The sequence below is a fragment of the Homo sapiens genome, chromosome 15 (assembly GCF_000001405.40).
Source record: "Homo sapiens chromosome 15, GRCh38.p14 Primary Assembly".
NCBI lineage: Eukaryota > Metazoa > Chordata > Mammalia > Primates > Hominidae > Homo > Homo sapiens.
This window is the reverse complement of record NC_000015.10, coordinates 20,281,111-20,299,870: the sequence shown is the minus strand read 5'-3', so window position 1 is coordinate 20,299,870 and position 18,760 is coordinate 20,281,111. Positions and strand designations below refer to the sequence as shown.

General features: G+C 46.6%; 1 protein-coding gene and 1 pseudogene across 2 annotated transcripts in view, besides 1 other annotated feature; both read right to left on the bottom strand.

The window, feature by feature from the left end:
- Positions 1–4,218, bottom strand: part of LOC124903442 (uncharacterized) — a 36,475-nt gene extending 32,257 nt beyond the window's left edge. Inside the window, exon 1 of the mRNA XM_047433398.1 lies at positions 4,077–4,218. Within this exon, the coding sequence (XP_047289354.1) occupies positions 4,077–4,101 (25 nt within the window). The 5' untranslated portion in view covers positions 4,102–4,218. The remainder of the gene's footprint in view (positions 1–4,076) is intronic.
- Positions 4,208–4,707: an enhancer, noted in NCBI's record as "H3K4me1 hESC enhancer chr15:20500417-20500916 (GRCh37/hg19 assembly coordinates)". NCBI's record gives its function as "activates a minimal SCP1, AML or CMV promoter by ChIP-STARR-seq in naive H9 embryonic stem cells {active_cell/tissue: H9 hESC(naive)}" and the evidence as "EXISTENCE:reporter gene assay evidence [ECO:0000049][PMID:30033119]".
- Positions 8,313–17,127, bottom strand: CHEK2P2 (CHEK2 pseudogene 2; annotated as a pseudogene). Its single transcript, NR_038836.1, has 6 exons — positions 16,897–17,127; positions 16,212–16,375; positions 15,629–15,716; positions 14,536–14,620; positions 9,678–9,758; positions 8,313–8,527 (listed from the first exon to the last, which is right to left on the bottom strand). The product of NR_038836.1 is annotated as a CHEK2 pseudogene 2 (transcript).
- Between the last annotated feature and the right edge of the window lie 1,633 nt (positions 17,128–18,760).

Here is an 18,760-nt window from a genome sequence, read left to right as displayed (position 1 = left end):
GATCATAACTGGCTATTATATGCCAATAAATTGGAAAGCCTAGTAGAAATTGGCAAATTCCTAGATGCATACATCTAGGAATACACCTACTTAGGTTGTATACACCTACTTAGGTTGAATAATGAAAACATCCAAGACCAAAACAGATTGGTAACAAGAAATGAGATTGAAGCCATCAGAAAAAGTCTCCCAGTAAAGAAAAGCCCAGGAACTGATGTCTTCACTGCTGATGGCTTCACAACAAACAATTTAAAGACCTAGTACGAATCCTACTCAAACTATTTTGAAAAACAGGAGGGAATACTTCCAAACTTATTCTATGAGACCATTATTACTGTGCTACCAAAATCAGACAAAGGCATCAAAGAAGGAAACTACAGGCCAGTATTTCAAATATTGATGCAAAAATCCTCAACAAAATACCAGTGAATCAAATTCAGTAATACATTAAAAAGATAATTCATCATGATCAAGTGCGATGTATCCCTGGGATGCAAGGGTCACTCAACATACAATGTGATACATCATATCAATCAAATAAATGACAAAAACAGTATGATCATGTCAACTGAAACTGAAAAAGCATTTGGTGAAATTCAACATCCTTCATGCTATTAATCCTCAAAGAAACGGGTACAGAAGAAACATACCACAACATAATAAAAACTACAGGAAAGACACCCACAGCTAGAATCATATGGAGGGAGGTCCAGGCTGCAGTGAGCTGTGATCCCACCACTGCACTCCAGCCTGGGCAACAGAGTGAAACCCTGTCTCAAAAAAAATATGTAAAAAGAGGTATGAGCCTCTTTTATAGGTGCAGTGACTCACATCTGTAATCCCAACACTTTCTGGGAGGCTGAGGTGAGAGGATCTCTTGAGGCCAGGAGTTCAAGATCAGCCTGGGCAACACAGCGAGACCCTTTATCTACAAAAAATTTTTAAACATTTGCCAGGTGTGGTGGCACGTGCCTGTAGTCTTAAACAATTATCATATGACCCAGATAGTCTATTCCTTAGGGATATACCCAAGGGAAATGAAAATATACATCCACACTAAAATTTGTACACAAATGTTCATAGCAGCATTGTTCATAATAGCCAAAAATTGGAAAAAAAACTCAAGTGCCTATCAACAGAGGAACTAATAAAATATGGTATATCCATTCAAAAGATTACTCAGCATTAAAAAAGAATGAAGTGCTGATATACGCTACAGCATGGATAAACCTTGAAAACACTGTGCCAAGTGAAATAAGTCAATCACAAAAGACCATATGTAGTAAGATTTCATTCTGTGAAACCTCCAGAAGAGCTAAACTCAGAGACAGAAAGTAGGCTAGTTATTGCCAGGGACTAGGGGAAAAGGGAATAAGGATGACTGCTAATGGGTATGGGATTTCTTGTGGACTGATGAAAATGGTCTGAAAGTATCTAGATACCTGTCTTGTTTGTGCGATTCTGTGAATATATTATAAACCACAAAATTCTGCACTCAAGGGGTTGATTTCATGGTAGGTGAATTTATCTCATTTATCTTTATCTCAATAAAGCTTTTTAAAGACACTTTAAAAAGACATATCTGTATAAGCTACAAAAATAACATACTGAGAGACTAAAATGCCTAATTTTTCCATTTTTCTTCTTCAGCGCAATCTCAAGTCCAAAAGTCTTTCCTTCCTATATATGCGTATTTTGTCCAGTGAAACAAGACACTCTATTAATTTTTTATTAGAAATAAAAAAAAGCCAGGTGTGGTGGCTCACAGCTGTGCTTCCAGCTACTCAGAAGGCTGAGGCAGAAGGATCACTTGAGGCCAAGACTGGGAGTTCAAGACCAGCTGAGGCAACACAGCTAGATCCTGTCTTTAAAAATATTTTTTAGGCCAGGCACAGTGGTTCACGCCTGTAATCCCAGCACTTTGGGAGGCCAAGGAGGGCAGATCATTTGAGATCAGGAGTTCAAAACCAGCCTGGACAACATGGTGAAACCCCATCTCTACTAAAAATATAAAAATTAGCTGGGTGTGGTGGCAGGCACCTGTAGTCCCAGCTACTCGGGAGGCTAAGGCAGAAGAATTGCTTGAGCTGGGAGGGTGGAGGCTGCAGTGAGGCCAAGATCATGCCATTGCACTCCAGCCTGGGTGACAGAGCAAGACTCCGTGTCAGGGGAAAAAAAAAAAAAAAAAAAAATATATATATATATATATATATATATATTTATACACACACACACACACATATATTTATATATTTTTTAAGTTAAAACCCTACTGAAATGAAACTAATAAAATAAAATTCAACTTAATTAAAAAACAGTTCCTGAAATATTAATTTTCAAACAATTCTATTTTAGCTTTGACTCTGAACAAAATATAAACCTCAATTTCAAAATGTCACAAAGATTGGCTGGGAGCAGTAGCTCATGCCTGTAATTCCAGCACTTTGGGAGGACGAGGCAGGTGGATCACTAGAGGCCAGGAGTTCCAGAGCAGCCTGGCCAACATAGGGAAACCCAGTCCCTACTAAAAAAATACAACAAAAATTAGCCGGGTCTAGTAACCCCAGCTACTCAGGAAGCTGAGGCATTAGAATCACTGGAATCTGGGAGGTGGAGGGTGCAGTGAGTGGAGATCATGCCACAGCACTCCAACCTGGGTGGCAGCCTGAGATTCTGTCTCAAAAAAATAAAAATAAGGCCAGGTGCCATGGCTCATGCCTGTAATCCCAGCACTTTGGGAGGCCAAGGTGGGCAGATCACTTGAGGTCAAGGAGTTTGGGACCAGCCTGGGCAACATAGTGAAACCTCCTCTCTACTAAAAATACATAAATTCGCTGGGCATGGTGGCACACACTTGTAATGCCAGCTACACCAGAGGCTGAGGCAGGGGAATCGCTTGAATTCGGGAGGTGGAGGTTGTAGTGACCTGAGATTGTGCTACTGCACTCCAGCCTGGACGACAGAGTGAGACTCCATCTCAAAAAAAAAGAAAAAAAAAAAGAAAATTTACATTTAAAATTTAAAAAAATCACAGACTACAAATACTCAGGTTTAAGCAAATTCCCACCTTTCTTGAATTAACAGTAATTCATATTTGCTTTGTCAAAAATGTAGATATTTACCTGCCCCAACGGAATGAAATCCTAAAAGCCTAGTGTTCTCAAATGATGAAGAGAAAGAAATATGCATATTTTAATTTAGAATTTTGATTTAGAATTAATTTTAACCTAGCTGGAGTATACATAATCATTTATGTATTTATTTACTTATTTAAGAGACTGGGTTTCGCTGTATTATCCAGACTGGAATGCAGTGGCACAACCTTGGCTCACTGCAACTTGTACTTCCTGAGCTCAAGCGATCCTCCCACCTCAGCCTCCAGGGTAGCTGGGACTGCAAGTGCACGCTACCACACCCAGCTAATTTTTGCGGAGACGAGTCTCGCTATGTTTCCCACACCTGTCTCTAACTCCTTGGCTCACTACAGCCTCAAGCCTCTGGGCTCAAGCAATCTGCCTCCCAAAGTGCTGAGATTACAGGAGTGAGCCACCGCACCCGGCCTAGTGGATAGTGTATACTAAGCAACATATACCCTGCTTTTGCCTAGAACATACTGAAAACATGGCATTAAAAACAATCACAAAAGTTGGGAGCTGAGAAAAATCATATACTGTAAAACAAATCTGACAGATATTAATCTCAAGAAGCTCCTGAAAATGTCTCAAGAACTCCTATGTTGCACTCTCCCTAATAATTTAGACTTTCTACAGATATTTTCTGATCATCTACCGTGTGCCAGGCACCATGCCAGGTACCAAGATGCCATGGTGAGGTATACACAAAAACAGCTCCTGCTTGCAGGAAGCCTACTCTCTAAAACAGTGCTTGCCAAGCTCGACTGATCACAACTTGGGAGCTTGTTTAAGTTCCAAATCGGCTTCCCTGCTTTGGTGAGCCACAATCCGTGGCATTTTTATCAGGTGCTCCCAATGATTCCTACACTCTAACGGGTTTAGGAGACAAGGGTGGGGGTAAGCTCGAGAGCCCAGAGCCATCCCGTCCAGCGGGAGCCCCACCTCTAAAGTCCATGTCGCTCAGCATCCTTCCCCCTGACTAGTGGCCCAAACACAGCACGAAGCTGAGGTGGGTGGAACGCTTTCCAAAACAGTGCTCTGTGATGAGCCACCGACAGACTTGCTCGCCACTGGGGACGAAGAGCTCACTCCTCACAAACCCCACCCGGGAGAGGTAGCACCTGATCCTCCCGGGCTGCGCCGACACCTGTCTCCCCGCGGGTGCCGCCTACTGCTCTGGTGGACTCCAGTCCCCAGCTTCCGCCCCACGGGGACTGGGGGGAGGGGGGAGGCACCGCGCGCATTAGGCGCCGACTGTATACCGAACCCCCCACCCCCGGTGTGTGCAGGCCAACACCCATACACACCCACACACACCCACACACACTCTCGCGGAAACTGAGGCAGGCAGGCGGCCGACCATGTCCTGTCGCCTGACGGCTCGCGGCTGGGATCGAACCCGGACTGCGAGACACCCTCCGCCTCGCAGGCGCTCCTCAGTCGCTGAGGCCCGGCCCGGCTCCCACCGCCGGAGTTTGACAAAGAAAGTCTCCCGGCCCGAGTCCCTCACGCACTCACCGGCGCCGACTCGGTCTCCCGCCGCCTTCAGCTCCTTGCGGGGGTCGGCCCTTGGGCCGGCTCGGGCGCCGGCGGCGGCCACTGCTCCATATCCACGGGGTCCGGGCCGCGTCCGCCTCGAGCTAACGGTCCCACCAGCTAGGCGCGTGCGCCGGTTCCGCGCGCCATGTTCCCGCCGTGCTGCGCGCCGCCGCGGCGACCCTCACTGCCCCCCAACCGCGCACGCCCCCGCAGGCCCACACACGAACCGCGCACGCGCGCGTTCGACGCGCCCCGCTCCCGCGCGCCCGGCCTCGGGCCCTCTGCAGCTGGCCGCTGTTCCCAGTGTCTCACCCACCCGCGCCGGAACCGTCCGACTGGGCGGGTGAGCGCGCGGTTCCCGACTCAGCACCGCCGCCTGCCTCTCTGCAGACCACCCCTGACCCGACCTCTCGGCCATTTCCCCACACTGCCCCTTTCACTTCCCCCATGGCGCGGGGCCTAGGACGAGGGTCTGGGCCAAGAAGAACTTCCCCGCAAGAAGTGCCGAGCTAAGGACGCTACTAAGGGGGTGGGATCGCCACCGTGGAGGTGTGCAAGCACGTGCCTGCGTCCCGGTGACAGCCAGACTCAACGGAGAAGCTGAGTTCAAGTCCCACATCTCCACTAACCCTTGCGTGTTAGGGTCAGGGCTTCGGGACTTGTTTCTCCTAAATCTTTTTTTTTTTTTTTTGAGACAGTCTCGCTCTGTCACCCAGGCTGGAGTGCTGTGGCGTGATCTCGGCTCACTGCAAGCTCCGCCTCCCGGGTTCACGCCATTCTCCTGCCTCAGTCTCCCGAGCAGCTGAGACTACAGGCGCCCACCACCACGCCTGCTAATTTTTGTATTTTTAGTAGAGATGGGGTTTCACAGTGTTAGCCAGGATGGTCTCCATCTCCTGACCTCATGATCCTCCTGCCTCGGCCTCCCAAAGTGCTGAGATTACAGGCGTGAGTCAGCGCGCTCGGCCTGTTTCTCCTAAATCTAAAGACTCAATATAATAATCAAGAGAACGCCTCAGCACCGCGCCTAGCACTTAGTAGGTAGTGATCGAGAGAGAAGACCTCTTAAGTGGTTTTAATGGTTAAGGACCACAGGTTCTCAAGAAAGGGAAATCTCAATTCGAGTCCCACCTCCATCTCTTGAAAACTGAGAAACCTGGAACAAGTCACTCAGAGGAGCCAAAGATCCTTGATTTCTACATGTGCAAAAGGGGAGTGTGGCAGTAGCACTGCACAGGGCTGACTGAGCTTTCAGGGAGATGATGACTGTACGATCATGCCTCTCTTAATCACGGGATGGTTCTGAGAAATGCCTCCTTAGGTGATTGCATCATTGTGCAAACAGCAAAGTGCATTTACACAAACCTTGTATAGCCTTGTACAGTCTACTACACACCTAGGCTGTATGGTGTAGCCTATTGCTCCTAGGCTACACACCTGTACAGCCTGATACTTTACTGAATATACTATAAGCAGTTGTAACACAATGTAAGTACTTGTGTACCTGAACATAGAGAAGGTACAGTAAGAATAGAGTATAAGAGATTTTAAAATGGTACTCCTGTATAGGGCACTTACCATGAAAGGAGCTTGCAGGACTGGAAGATGCTGTGGTGAGTCAGTGAGTGTGAAGGCATAGGACCTTACTGTACACTACTGTAGACTTTATAAACACCATATGCTTAGGCTACACCAAAAATTTTTAAAGCTTTTCTTCAATAAATTAACCTTAGCTTACTGAAATGTATCTTAAAAAATTTTGCCGGTCGTGGTGTCTCACACCTGTAATCCCAGCACTTTGGGAGGCCGAGGCAGGCAGATCATTTGAGGTCAGGAGTTCGAGACCATCCTGGCCAACGTGGTGAAACCCTCATCTCTAATAAAAATACAAAAGTTAGCCAGGCATGGTGGTGTGCACCTGTAGTCCCAGCTACTCAGGAGACTGAGGCAGGAGAATCGCTTGAACCCAGGAGGCGGAGGTTGCAGTGAGCCGAGATCGCACCATTGCACTCCAGCCTGGGCAACAAGCATACGACTTCATCTCGATTAAAAAAAAAGAAAAAAGAAACAGAGAAAAGGTGGCTAACTCTCCACAGCGGGAAAAATGTCCCAGGAAACCACAGCCTCCACATTAAATATTCAAATGAGCTAAAACCCATCTAGGGCAATCTCAGCCTTATTCCTTTAAACATGCAAACCAACTAAATTCCCAACAAACCCCCTACACCAGGCCAGCCAAGTCTCAGAATGCTTATATACCCTTTAATAGAAATTTCCAACCACATCCCCATTTCCTAAGGAAATGGCTGTGTGCCCTTGATTCTGCCCTGACTGAATCGCCAGTGGCCATTGAACCACGGCACTCAATTCATGGCATGGCCAGCGAGCTACAAAGTGTCCTAGCATCAACCAAGCAAAGTTATAAAAGCAGATTCAGTGGACAATAAGGAACATTAGAGTCAAAAAGACCTGGGTTGGGTCCCAGCTCTGCCATTTACCAGCTGTGTGACATCAGAAAAGTTACCTTCGTCCTCTAACTTTGGTTTCCTCACCTGTGACATGACAGTGGCTAGAGGACCTCACTCATAAAATCACTGTGAGGACAAGAGCAGCCAAGGGTAAGTCTTTGCACAGGGCTTCCCTGGTCATTATTGGGTCAACAAGACAGAACCATGCCTTATCTCCACTTCCAAAACCCAAACAGCTCTCAAAAACGAGTCATTGTAGCTCATTTGGAAGAAAAGACTGATATGAATCAATATGCAACTACCTATAATCTTTCTCTATCCCTCTTGCTGTGAATATTTGCTGTGGAAATATTAACATGTTTGGTCTCCACTGGGGTAGGACTCCACATGTGTAGGACTCCGCTGAGGTGCTACACATACACATAGTAGATATGCCTTACCACCTTCCTAAAATTGGGTAATTAAATTTCACAACTTATCTAGCCCAAAGGTTTCAGAGACTGTAGACCTGTATCTTTATGAGGGCAAGGATGAGAATATAACCTGGCCTGTTATTATGCACCAAGGTACCTGCTGTTCTCATGAAGATGTCAGCAGCCAGCCAGCCAGTCTCTACAAACTCCACCCCCAACCTTGCTATGCTCCTTTTCCCGGAACTTTCCAAGGGGCCCTTAGAATTTGTATTCAGCTCTCACAGGCTGAGACCAGGGTGACATCCTGGGAAACCTGCCTAGTGATAGCCAAGGTGTAGCTCCAGATGAAAGGCACACAACAACTTTAAATATAAAAAAGCCATTCAGGCTAGGCGCAGTGGCTCACGTGTGTAATCCCAGCACTTTGAGAGACCGAGGCAGGTGGATCACCTGAGATCAGAAGTTCAAGACCAGGCTGGCCAACATGGCAAAACCCTGTCTCTACAAAAAAATATAAAAATTAGCTGGGCATGGTGGTGCATACCTGTAATCCCAGCTACTCGGGAGGCTGAGGCACGAGAATCGCTTGAACCTGGGAAGCAGAGGTTGCAGTGAGCCAAGCTTGCACCACTACACTTCAGGGTGGGCAACAGAGTGAGACTCCGTCTCAAATAAATAAATAACAAAGCCATTCAACTAAAGAACCGATTATCAAGCAGAAGCACAAAGCCCAGGTTCCATCAGGTTTTTAATTGTACATCAGTGACTGTGAAAAAGCAATTATTTCCATAATTAAAATACACACTATAAAAAACAGACTCAAAGAAAAGAAAGATGACAGAGTGAAAGAAGGTACATTTCTTTCATGTTCAAACCATGGAGTTCACAACACAGCAGCACACACAGCCGGGCGCTTTGTGGTCTCGGCACCCTCGGCTTCCCCTTCATGAGGCCACTTTCGACTAGTAGAAGGCTGAAAATAAAGGAAAATGGAGAAATGTTCAAAAGAAAATCACTGGCTTCTTTAAGATTATCAAAGTTCCTCAATATACTTCCAGTAAAGTGGGGGCATTTGATGTGAAATTCTAGTACCAAAAATTACTGGTCGTCATCATTGACAACTGAGTCCTCACCACAGCCCGCAACTCAGACATGCTTATCTAATAGATATTTCTCTCCCTATGGCTTCTGACCTCTGAACGATGTATACTGAAAGCAAGTAGCATAACCAACTTCCTCTTGATCGTCCTCTTCTAAATATCAAGTTTAAAAGGACTATAATACCTCTCAGTTGAAGCCCCAAGTCTTGGTCTTTTGCGGGAAGACAACCTTTGTGCCTTAGTTGTTTTCCCATATATAAAATTGGGAGGAAGGCTGGGTGCGGTGACTCACGCCTGTAATCCCAGCACTTTGGGAAGCCGAGGTGGGCAGGTCGCTTCAGGTCAAAAGTTCGAGACAAGCCTGACCAACATGGCAAAACCCCATCTCACCTAAAAATACAAAAATTAGCTGGGCGCAGTGGTGGACACCTGTAGTCCCAGACACTCGGGAGACTGAGGCAGGAGAACTGCTTGAACCCAGGAGGCAGAGGTTGCAGTGAGCTGAGATTGCACCACTGCACTCTGGCCCGAGTGACAGACTAAGACTCTGTCTCAAGAAAATAAAAATCGGGGCAGCGGGGAGGAAACAGTGGGAAAAAGGACAGCTACCATTCAACAACAACAACAACAACAAAGTAGGACTGGAATTAACTTATACTCACAAAGAACTTTAAAGAATAAACTTGTAATCAAGGAATCAACTACTGACCCAAATTTTAATTTTTCCAACAAATTTATATTTGAGCCCCTAATAGAGTCTTTCGAAATTGCCTTGCAGGTGACCTTTTGGATGACAATCCCTAGCTGTGCTTATCTGTCTATTATGTGTTAGATATTAAACATATCCTGCGTTTTTAAATCTAAGGGTGCTGGAGTGAATCAAGTTCAAACAGAGTTTCTACTACATTATAACTGAAACAATGTTAAGCAATTGCTACTCAGGAAAATCTTGAATTTCATCATCTTTGCTTATCATCTCCTTAAGCCCAGACTACATTTAGTGATCATCAGGAATACGAATACCTGGGCTAGAACCTGGAGTAGAGCTGTGGATTCATTTTCCTCACACAGAAGATCTTGAAACTTTCTCTTCATGTCTTCATCCTGTGAGGGAATTAAAAACATAAGTAGCTGTGTCTGAAGGATAATAAACTCCTAGAATGACAGGGCTAGCATGCCTCTGTGGAAAGAGGGAGGAAAAGATGTCCGTCCAAGAATCATCCCCTTGATGAAGCTCCCACAGTGAAGGCATTATGTGTTGCCCCCCTCTACCTTCCCACAGGAGTCCAATCAGCAGTCAATGCTCCATCGATCCTGGCTGAGTCACATCCACATGCCTAAAAGCTCTCAGTGGGTCAATCACAGCCTCCAGCAGTCAAGAGTTTCTGAATTAGCATCCCAGATCCTGAGAAAGGTGACAATCAGGGGCCAGGGGCTGGGTCTCACTCCGTGCAGCTCCTCAAATCCTTCCAGGACCGCTCTCCACCTGCTGCCCCTGCCATGAATGAGGCCAGTCACCCAGGCTGTCTTAACAACCAGCCCAGCACCCTAGGAAAATTCACCCAGCAGATGCCATAGAAATTTTCAGAAGTACTTAAGCCCACAGTATCCCAGAGTTCAGGTCTAATGAGAAAGGGAGACAATAAACAGAACAAAGCATTACAGGTGTTTCATGCTGCAGGAACGGGAGATGAGCAGGGCACAGACAGTGTGTATACGGGTAGCTCCCACCTCTCTGGATGCTCACTTCTGCAGGGTTCAAGGATTTGCATTAGGAAACCCTGAGAGGTGGTCCGGTGCAGCTCTCCCCATCTTCAGCAAGGTGAAAGGAACATCTATATCTAGTAATGTGGCCTTTGAGTGCTGGCCAGAAGCCCAGCTCAGCCACTCACAGGTGGCATGTGCGGAATACAGACCCAGAGTTATCTGATTCCAGTGCCTCATGTACTTTCCCACCCAACTCCAGCCCCTCCTCCCACTGAGCCAAGCATACCACAGTGGGGAAAGGGAGAGGATACAGCAAAGTCCTCCACCATTTGGCAACTTGATGGATATGGAAATTTTACAACACTAGGTTGGGCATGGTGGCTCATGCCTATAATCCCAGCACTTTGGGAGGCCAAGGTGGGATAATTGCTTGAGGCCAGGAATTTGAGACCAGCCTGGGCCACATACTGGGACTTTGTCACTACAAAAAAATTTAAAAATTAGGCCAGGCATGGAGGCTCACGCCTGTAATCCCAGCACTTTGGGAGGCCAAGGTGGGTGAATCACCTGAGGTCGGAAGTTTAAGATCAGCCTGGCTAACATGGTTAAACCCCATCTCTACTAAAAATACAAAATTAGCCAGGCGTGGTAGTGCATGCCTGTAATCCCAGCTACTCAGGAGGCTGAGGCAGGAGAATCACTTGAACTCGAGAGGCGGAGGTTGCAGTAAGACAGGATCACACCACTGCACTCCAGCCTGGGCAAAAGAGTACGACTCTGTCTCCAAAAAAAAAAAAAAAAATTAAATTAGCCAGACATGGTGGCATGCACCTGTAGTCTCAGCTACTTGGGAGGCTGGGGCAGGAGGATCACTTGAGCCTGAAAGTCATGGTGCAGTGATCATGCCACTGCACTCCAGCCTATGTGAGACAGCAAGACCCTGAGGAAGGAAGGAAGGAAAGAAGCAAGGAAGGAAAAAGGGAGGGGGGATGAAAGAGGGGAGGAAAAAGGAATGGAGGAGAGGGGAGGGGGAAGGAAGGAGGAAGAAAGAGAAAGAAAGAAGGACCAGGCACAGTGGCTCACACCTGTAATCCCAGCACTTTGGGAGGCCAAGGCAGGGCAGAACACTTGAGTTCACCATGTTTTGAGTTTCTCAGTGTAGCTCCCCATTGCCATTTGACAGCAGCAAGCTCATCTGGATTCCTCTCCCCACCCTCTCACGGCTTTACTTAGGATCTCAATTATCTTGCAGTGTCACTCTCAAAAGTCCATCTCTTGGCAGCCCTTCAGTGAAGCCAAACAGAGTGGTCACAAGCCTAATCAGGCCTATATTTAAACCAAGTCATCAGGTCAGGCACAGTGGCTCATGCCTGGAATCCCAGCACTGTGGGAGGCCAAGGTGGGTGGATCACCTGAGGTCAGGAGTTCGAGACTAGTCTGACCAACATGGTGAAACCCCATCTCTACTAAAAATACAAAAATGAGCTGGGCATGGTGGCAGGCACCTGTAGTCCCAGCTACTTGGGAGGCTGATGCAGGAGAATCACTTGAACCCAGAGATGGAGGTCGCAGTGAGCTGAGATCACACCATTGCACTCCAGCCTGGTAGACAAAAGCGAGACTCCATCTCAAAAAAGGAAATAAATAAATAAACATTGATTTTCTTCATGATGTCTACAATTATTCCAAAATATTAAATTAGCTAGGAACAGTGGCTCATGCCTATTATCCAAGCACTTTATGAGGCTGAGGCGGGAGGATCCCTTAAGGCCAGGAGGTCGAGGCTGCAGTGAGCTATAATTGCACCAGTGCACTCCAGTTTAGGGAACAGAAGAAGACCTTGTCTCCAACAATAAATAAAATAAAAATTAAATTATAATATCCCTTGAAAGCAAACAGAAGAAATCCTCTATTTCAGGCAGTAAATATGAAGCAGAGAGTAGATGTAAGGGATGATCCCAAAACTGGCCACTCTGTTAATGACAAAACAGAGACCAGAATCCACATTCCCAACACTCAGTCCAGCGCCAGACCCACAAAACCATTTGGTTTTTGCAAAAGCACTGAATTTCCCCAAAATAAAACCCAAACTATCACTAACAGATGTTTTAGATGGTCAGTCTTCATCCTTGTCTTCATTCAATGCTCATTCCTCCTTTTACTGCAAAAACAAAAGGTGGCTAAAAGAGTATTCCAGGGAGATCCTGCAACGGAGTTGAACTTCACCTTCTCCTTGGTTGTTAATAAGTTTTCTTTGAGACAAAGAAGTACAAGAAAAATAGGCTACGCTTGCTCATAAATTTCAGGCAGATGCAAACCCTGTTCCCAGGCTCAACAGGCCAGCTCTATTTTTTTGCTAGAGATGAACACAGCTCCTGTACCTCTACATTTAGACCCAAGAGTTTCCCTATTAGGACACATGAAAAGAGCCAAAAGACATGTTTCTCTTTCTCATCAAAATTAAAATCCCCACATGCAAAGGCACCCTTTGTTTCCAAACCCCTTTCCTCCAGGGTCCCGCTGTTTCAAATCTCTGTGGTCTATTAAATGCTAAATCATCTGACAGATTTCTTCTGGGGAGACTATAGTTTCCAGGGCAACATCCAAAACACATATATATATATATATATCTGTCTTTTTTTTTAAGTTTTTGTTGTTCTCAACCTGAGCTGGCCTGAGCAAAACTGTTAGGTGTAGAGGATTAGAACAGAGAATGGGGACAGTCTTCCCAGAGTTCCAGAAGTACGGGGCTGAGGCTGGATTGCCCAAGGAGTTCCTGGACCAGTAATCCCCAGAGAAACAGCATTTAGCTCAAGTAACAGCCTCTAGCTCAAGCTACCAGTTCTGTCCCCCATCTCCACAGAAAACGGATTGATACAGTTTGGCTTTGTGTCCCTACCCAAATCTCATCTCAAATTGTAATCTCCAGGTGTTGAGAAGGGGACCTGTTGAGAGGTGATTGGCTCATGGGGGCAGTTTCCCCCAGGCTATTCTCATGATAGTGAGTTCTCATGAGATCTGACAGTTTCATAAGAGGCTCTTTGCCCTTCACTTCCTTCACAAGCTCTCTCACCTGCTGCCATTAAGACATGCCTTCTACCCCTTCCACCATGATTGTAAGTTTCCTGAGGCCTCCCCAGCCATGTGGAGCTGTGAGTCAAGTAAACCTCTTTTCTTTATAAATTACCAAGTCTTGGGCAGTTCTTTATAGCAGTGTGAGAACAGACTAATACACAGACCAAAAGAAAATTAATAGAAAGGGGCATGGCTGTACTGAATGGAACTGCTCGTTACAGAAGACCAGACATCTATCAGAAAAACCTGCCCAATGCCGTAGCTAATTCCAAAACTAAAGATTAACCCAGCAAAGCCACAACGTACTTCCAACTCTTGGCAGTTCCAAATGAGGTCAGCATTTAATAATGGCAGCCCCAACCCCTAGCAGGAGTACAGCAGTAACACAGATGAAAGGTGCAGGTGACAGCCTTCACTAAGGACACATTTACTCACCTGAATGAACAAGCAGTGGGACCCTTTATACCGAGTCACTTGGGCTTGAGAAATAGCTGGATTCTCCCCAGGGAGGCTGCCCTCCTCCCCCTCCCCCACTTCCCTGATTTAAGGTTGAAGATGGCTAGAATGCACCCCACCTATGAAGAGCAGTGGACATGGCTGGGAGTAGAGCCAGAACAAGCCCTCAAAAGAACACAGGCCAAACTGGAGACTCGGGGCAGCCAAGTGGAACCAGAACAGGACATAAAGTGAGCTTGTACATCCAACAGCCATGAGTAATATCAAAAAGGTTGTAGCCTGGCCAACACAGCGAAACCCCATCTCTACAAAAAATACAAAAAGTAGCTGGGCGTGGTAGCATGCACCTTTAATCCCAGCTACTTGGGAGGCTGAGGCAGGAGAATCACTTGAACCCAGGGTGCAGAGGTTGCAGTGAGCTGAGATTGTGCCACTGCACTCCAGCCAGGGTGACAGAATGATAACCTGTCTCAAAAAAAAAAAAAAAAAAAACAGGTTGTAACCTGTCCAAGATACCCCCCATACATCTAAAACAATTAAACACATTCAACAAAGTAAACATGTTTCTGTCCTCTGTCTCATGTCTCTCAGGCAGCAGGGCTTCCCATGTATTTTATGCTAGCAGGCACTGTCCCACACCCACCTGAAGCCACAGTGTCTTAAGGCTTCTTCTGTTGTAAAACATGCCTTTGGATCCACTACCAACAACTTCTTGACAAGGTCCAGAGCTGAAGCAACAATTGGGCAAATCACAGTGAAAAGGATAAATATATTATCAGTAACAGTATGCCAGAATTAACAGGCCACCATCCAGAAAGAGCAGAGAGGGTCTGAGATCGTCAGGGAGTCAGCAGACAGGGCCCCCTAATCTTCCTCACTCTCTGTATTCAGAGTACTGTGAGAAGACCAGGAATGATAATGACACTCCCTGTCTCCTGTTGCTGGGACATCAGTCACGACCTCTTCGCTGCCTGTTCCCTCTCTTGTTGCTAGACTCAAGGTCAAACTAATTAAAGCTAAACTTCTACCCAATTCTAAGATAATTGGGATGCACAGCAAACTCTCCCTGACATCTACAGATGGATGGGTGACAGTTACTCAGCCAGGGAGAGGCTCCCTGGAACTGCAGACTTGTCAGAAATAAAACTTGACTACTCCAGCAAGCAACAAATGCATGCTGGCCTGTATATCACAACATTATTATTCCTGAAATATTCTGACATTTAACACAATTACCTATGTTATGTTATTTGACATTTAATTTTCTATTTTCTCTTCAGGGAACTAAAGTTGCCAGGACAAATTATAAAATACAAGGTAACTAAAGACATATAGTTTTTACACGCTTGCTTACTCAAAGGAAACCTTGTAACTAAAAAGTTACAAATGCATTTATTTTGCTCAGTAAAATAGGTACAAGGCACTTGTTTACATTATACCTAACCCTCAAAAAACCTTTTAAGGTAGGGATTATTGAGGGTCCCTTTACACAGAAAGAAATTGGAGACGGAGGTTAAATAACTTGCCTAAGGCCACACAGCTAAGTAGTAGCAGACCCAGGACCTGAGTGCATGCTCTTAATAATTTCCAGTGCCTCTCAAATGGTGTGAAACTAACGATAGAAAATAAGAACAGAATTGACAGGAGAAAACACCATGGAATTTGGAAAGAAACTCCCACCACAGGACACACACATTTTAGCATACCACAAATTCTTAACCCTTTCATATTCATACCTTTCTCTGAGACTTCTGCCCAGACTTTAGGAATGAAGTTGTGTTTTCCACTGGTGATCTGGTCCTTCAGTGACACTTGAGTCCTGTGCTCAGAGAAAGGTGGATACCCACTAAGGCTTAATATTGGTAGAGAGAGAAAGGAAAAGAAATCAAGTGGCATTCTCAGTGGCATTCAGATATAAAGATTTCTTTTTCAGCATAATGAAAAGTCAGATTTTTCTTTAAATCAATGGTCAAAAAGTGAGCTAGGCTGGGCACAATGGCTCATGCTTGTAATCCCAGCACTTTGGGAGGCCGAGGCAGGAGGATCACTTGAGCCCAGGAGTTCAAGACCAGCGTGAGCAACATGGCAAAACCCCATCACTACAAAAAATAGAAAAATTAGCTGGGCATGGTGGTGTGCGCATGTAGTCCCAGCTACTCAGGAGGCTGAGATGGGAGGATCACTTGACCCAGAAGGCAGAGGCTACAGTTAGCCAAGATCAAGCCACTGCATGCCAGCCTGGACAACAGAGCAAGACACATTTGTGACTTCATCTAATCACCTCCTACCAGTCTGTGAAGCAATGAAAATATTTCTTACCAGATAAAAAGAATAACTCCTAAACTCCAGCAGTCCACAGCACGGTTATACCCAGCAGTCCCAACAGAAACAAGAACTTCAGGAGCCAAGCAGGTGGGGGTTCCACATAAAGTTCTCATGAGAGAGGTCTCTCCCAAAATCTTGGAGTGCCCAAAATCAGTAATCTAAAATTCAGTACAAAAGGGAATAATGTTGAACTTGTCATAAAATAAAAAGATTAACATAGTCTGCCAGTCCAAGAAGACATGTAGGCTAGATCAGTTTCTATTGTACAATTCACACCTGCCATTAATCTGGAATCTACAGATTCATGTCTTTGCAAGTTAAGACATTTAACTTTGGTTAAATTAAAATTCCTGAGCCTAGGAATCTCAACACTCAGGCTTTCCAACTTAATCTATGTCCTCTGTAATCTTACAAAAAGCTTATTACCTTTATCACAGACACTTCAGGATTCTCATTAGTTCTACATGGTTCTTAGACCCCACTGTCTCAAACTTGGCTGTGCTATGGAATACCTGGGGAGCTTGGAAACACGTGCTTATACCTGAGTGCCACTCTCAGGTTCTGAGGTAAAGCCTAGGTGTCATAAATTCTAACAAGAGATTCTAAAGTGATGCCAGGCTTGATAAACAGGGAAAGGGAGGGCATGTGATTACACTCATTCATTCATTCATTCATTCACCTATTCTGCCCAAAGCGATGCAGTGCTCCCAAGGTCTGTGCTGAGGAGAACGCTGCTCTGCCTTCGCTGTGTCCCCCGGGTCTGTGCTGAGCAGAACGCAGCTCCGCCCTTGCGGTGCCCCCGGCCCACCCGTCCGCCCGGGTCTGTGCTGAGGAGAACACTGCTCCGCCTTCGCTGTATCTCTGAAGTCTGTGCAGAGGAGAACTCAGCTCGCCCTCACGATGCAATCCGGGTCTGTGTTGAGGAGAACGCAGCTCCGCCCTCGCAAAGGCGCACAGCGCCAGCGCAGGCGCAGAGAGGCGCACATTTTATGAATAGAAAATCAGTTTCTCCCTGTTCCTCCTACGTCGAGGCCGGACACACGTTTACAGGGGATCAGTGTGAAGGGAAGCTGGTGAGGCTGCCTGGGAAGCCCCCTGCCTGCATCTCCCAGTGGACTCCTTGGGAGCGCCCCCTCCCCACCTCTGCCCATCAGCGCCTGAACCGTGGCCACTTGCACTCCTGTTGCCTCCCCAGTGGCTTGAACTCCAGAACTTGCCACCCTTCAGTGGAATTCCTGGAGGAGTGAGGAGCTCTGTGCTATGCTTGGCCACCGAACATGGGCCATCTCTCCTATTATGGTTTGAAATGTACCATAGTGTCTTGTTTGGTAATTGTATAAAAATATGGGGAGACTGTGCGGGTGTCTGCTAGCTTGTCTGCTGGTTCTTACTCATGGTGCCTTCTTCCCTTTCAGACTTGGATATCTTTGTGTGCTTCTTGGGGCCCTTGGAAGGGTGTCTGTGGGGTTTCCGTGAGGCCAAAGACAGAGGTTCCTTCTCACAAGGATGGTGTTTGCTTTCACATGGACAGCCCAGACCACCTGGAACCAAGTGCACAGAAGCCCCACCATCCCTGGGCCTCCCAGGTGTGATGGGTGAGGGGTCCAAGTCCGCCGGAGATCCAAGGCTCTTTGTGGTTGAATCTGTGAGTTTCCTTTCCTTTTTTCCTCCCACTCCTTTTAATGCTAATGAATTCCTTGTTTTGGGGCAGGGACCAGGGTTATCTCTGCTTCTGTCTTCACCCAGGTGAGGCCTTTCAGGCTCCCAGCTTGATATGGGGGTGAATCCCCTATCAGCCTCCTCATACCTTGACCTCTGTCTACCCCCCTACTCCCTCCAAGGTCGAAGCCCAACTTGTCAGGTTGGCAAATGCTCACAAGCAACAGTGGCCCCAGCGCTCCTCTCTAGGTTCTTGGTTTTCCCCTGAAACTTGGCCTGGAGGTTTCCCACTAGCTTAGCAGCCCTTTGATGCTTTTAACGTAATTTTGTTATTGTCTTATCCAAAATTCTTGCTTGTTTTCAGAGGGAAAGCGGGTCTGCCATTACTGCACAGAGAATCTGGGACAGTTATTATAACCATAGAAATTTATTTTCCATGTGCTGTCCCATCTTCTTGATGAGACAGATGTTTAACAACTGGAGAACTGGACCCCATCTTTGTCCCCATCTTGCCTAGCAACAGAAGGTGGTCACTAACCAGGGATTTTCGAGCCCATTGCTTAAGGCCGTTGTTGACCCAAAGGATAGTGGGTCCCTGCTCCTTTTCCTACGGAGAGGCCCAGGTGCCCAGAGGGCCCTCCTGGCTCGGCTGCCTACTTGAGTGGCTGATGAAGTGTCTGCTGTGCGCACAGGGCACCCAGCCCCGCTCCTCCCCAGGCAGCCCCTCGAACAGCTGTTCCTCTACTGCTTCAGCTGTGGACCTGAGGCTGAGAGTCTGAGCCATCGACCTGAGCCACATGCGGGGGAGTGGCAGGCCTGGACCCGGTGCCCAGACCTGGCTCACGTGACCTTACTTTTTCCACTGTGCCTGCTGCTCCCTCCCG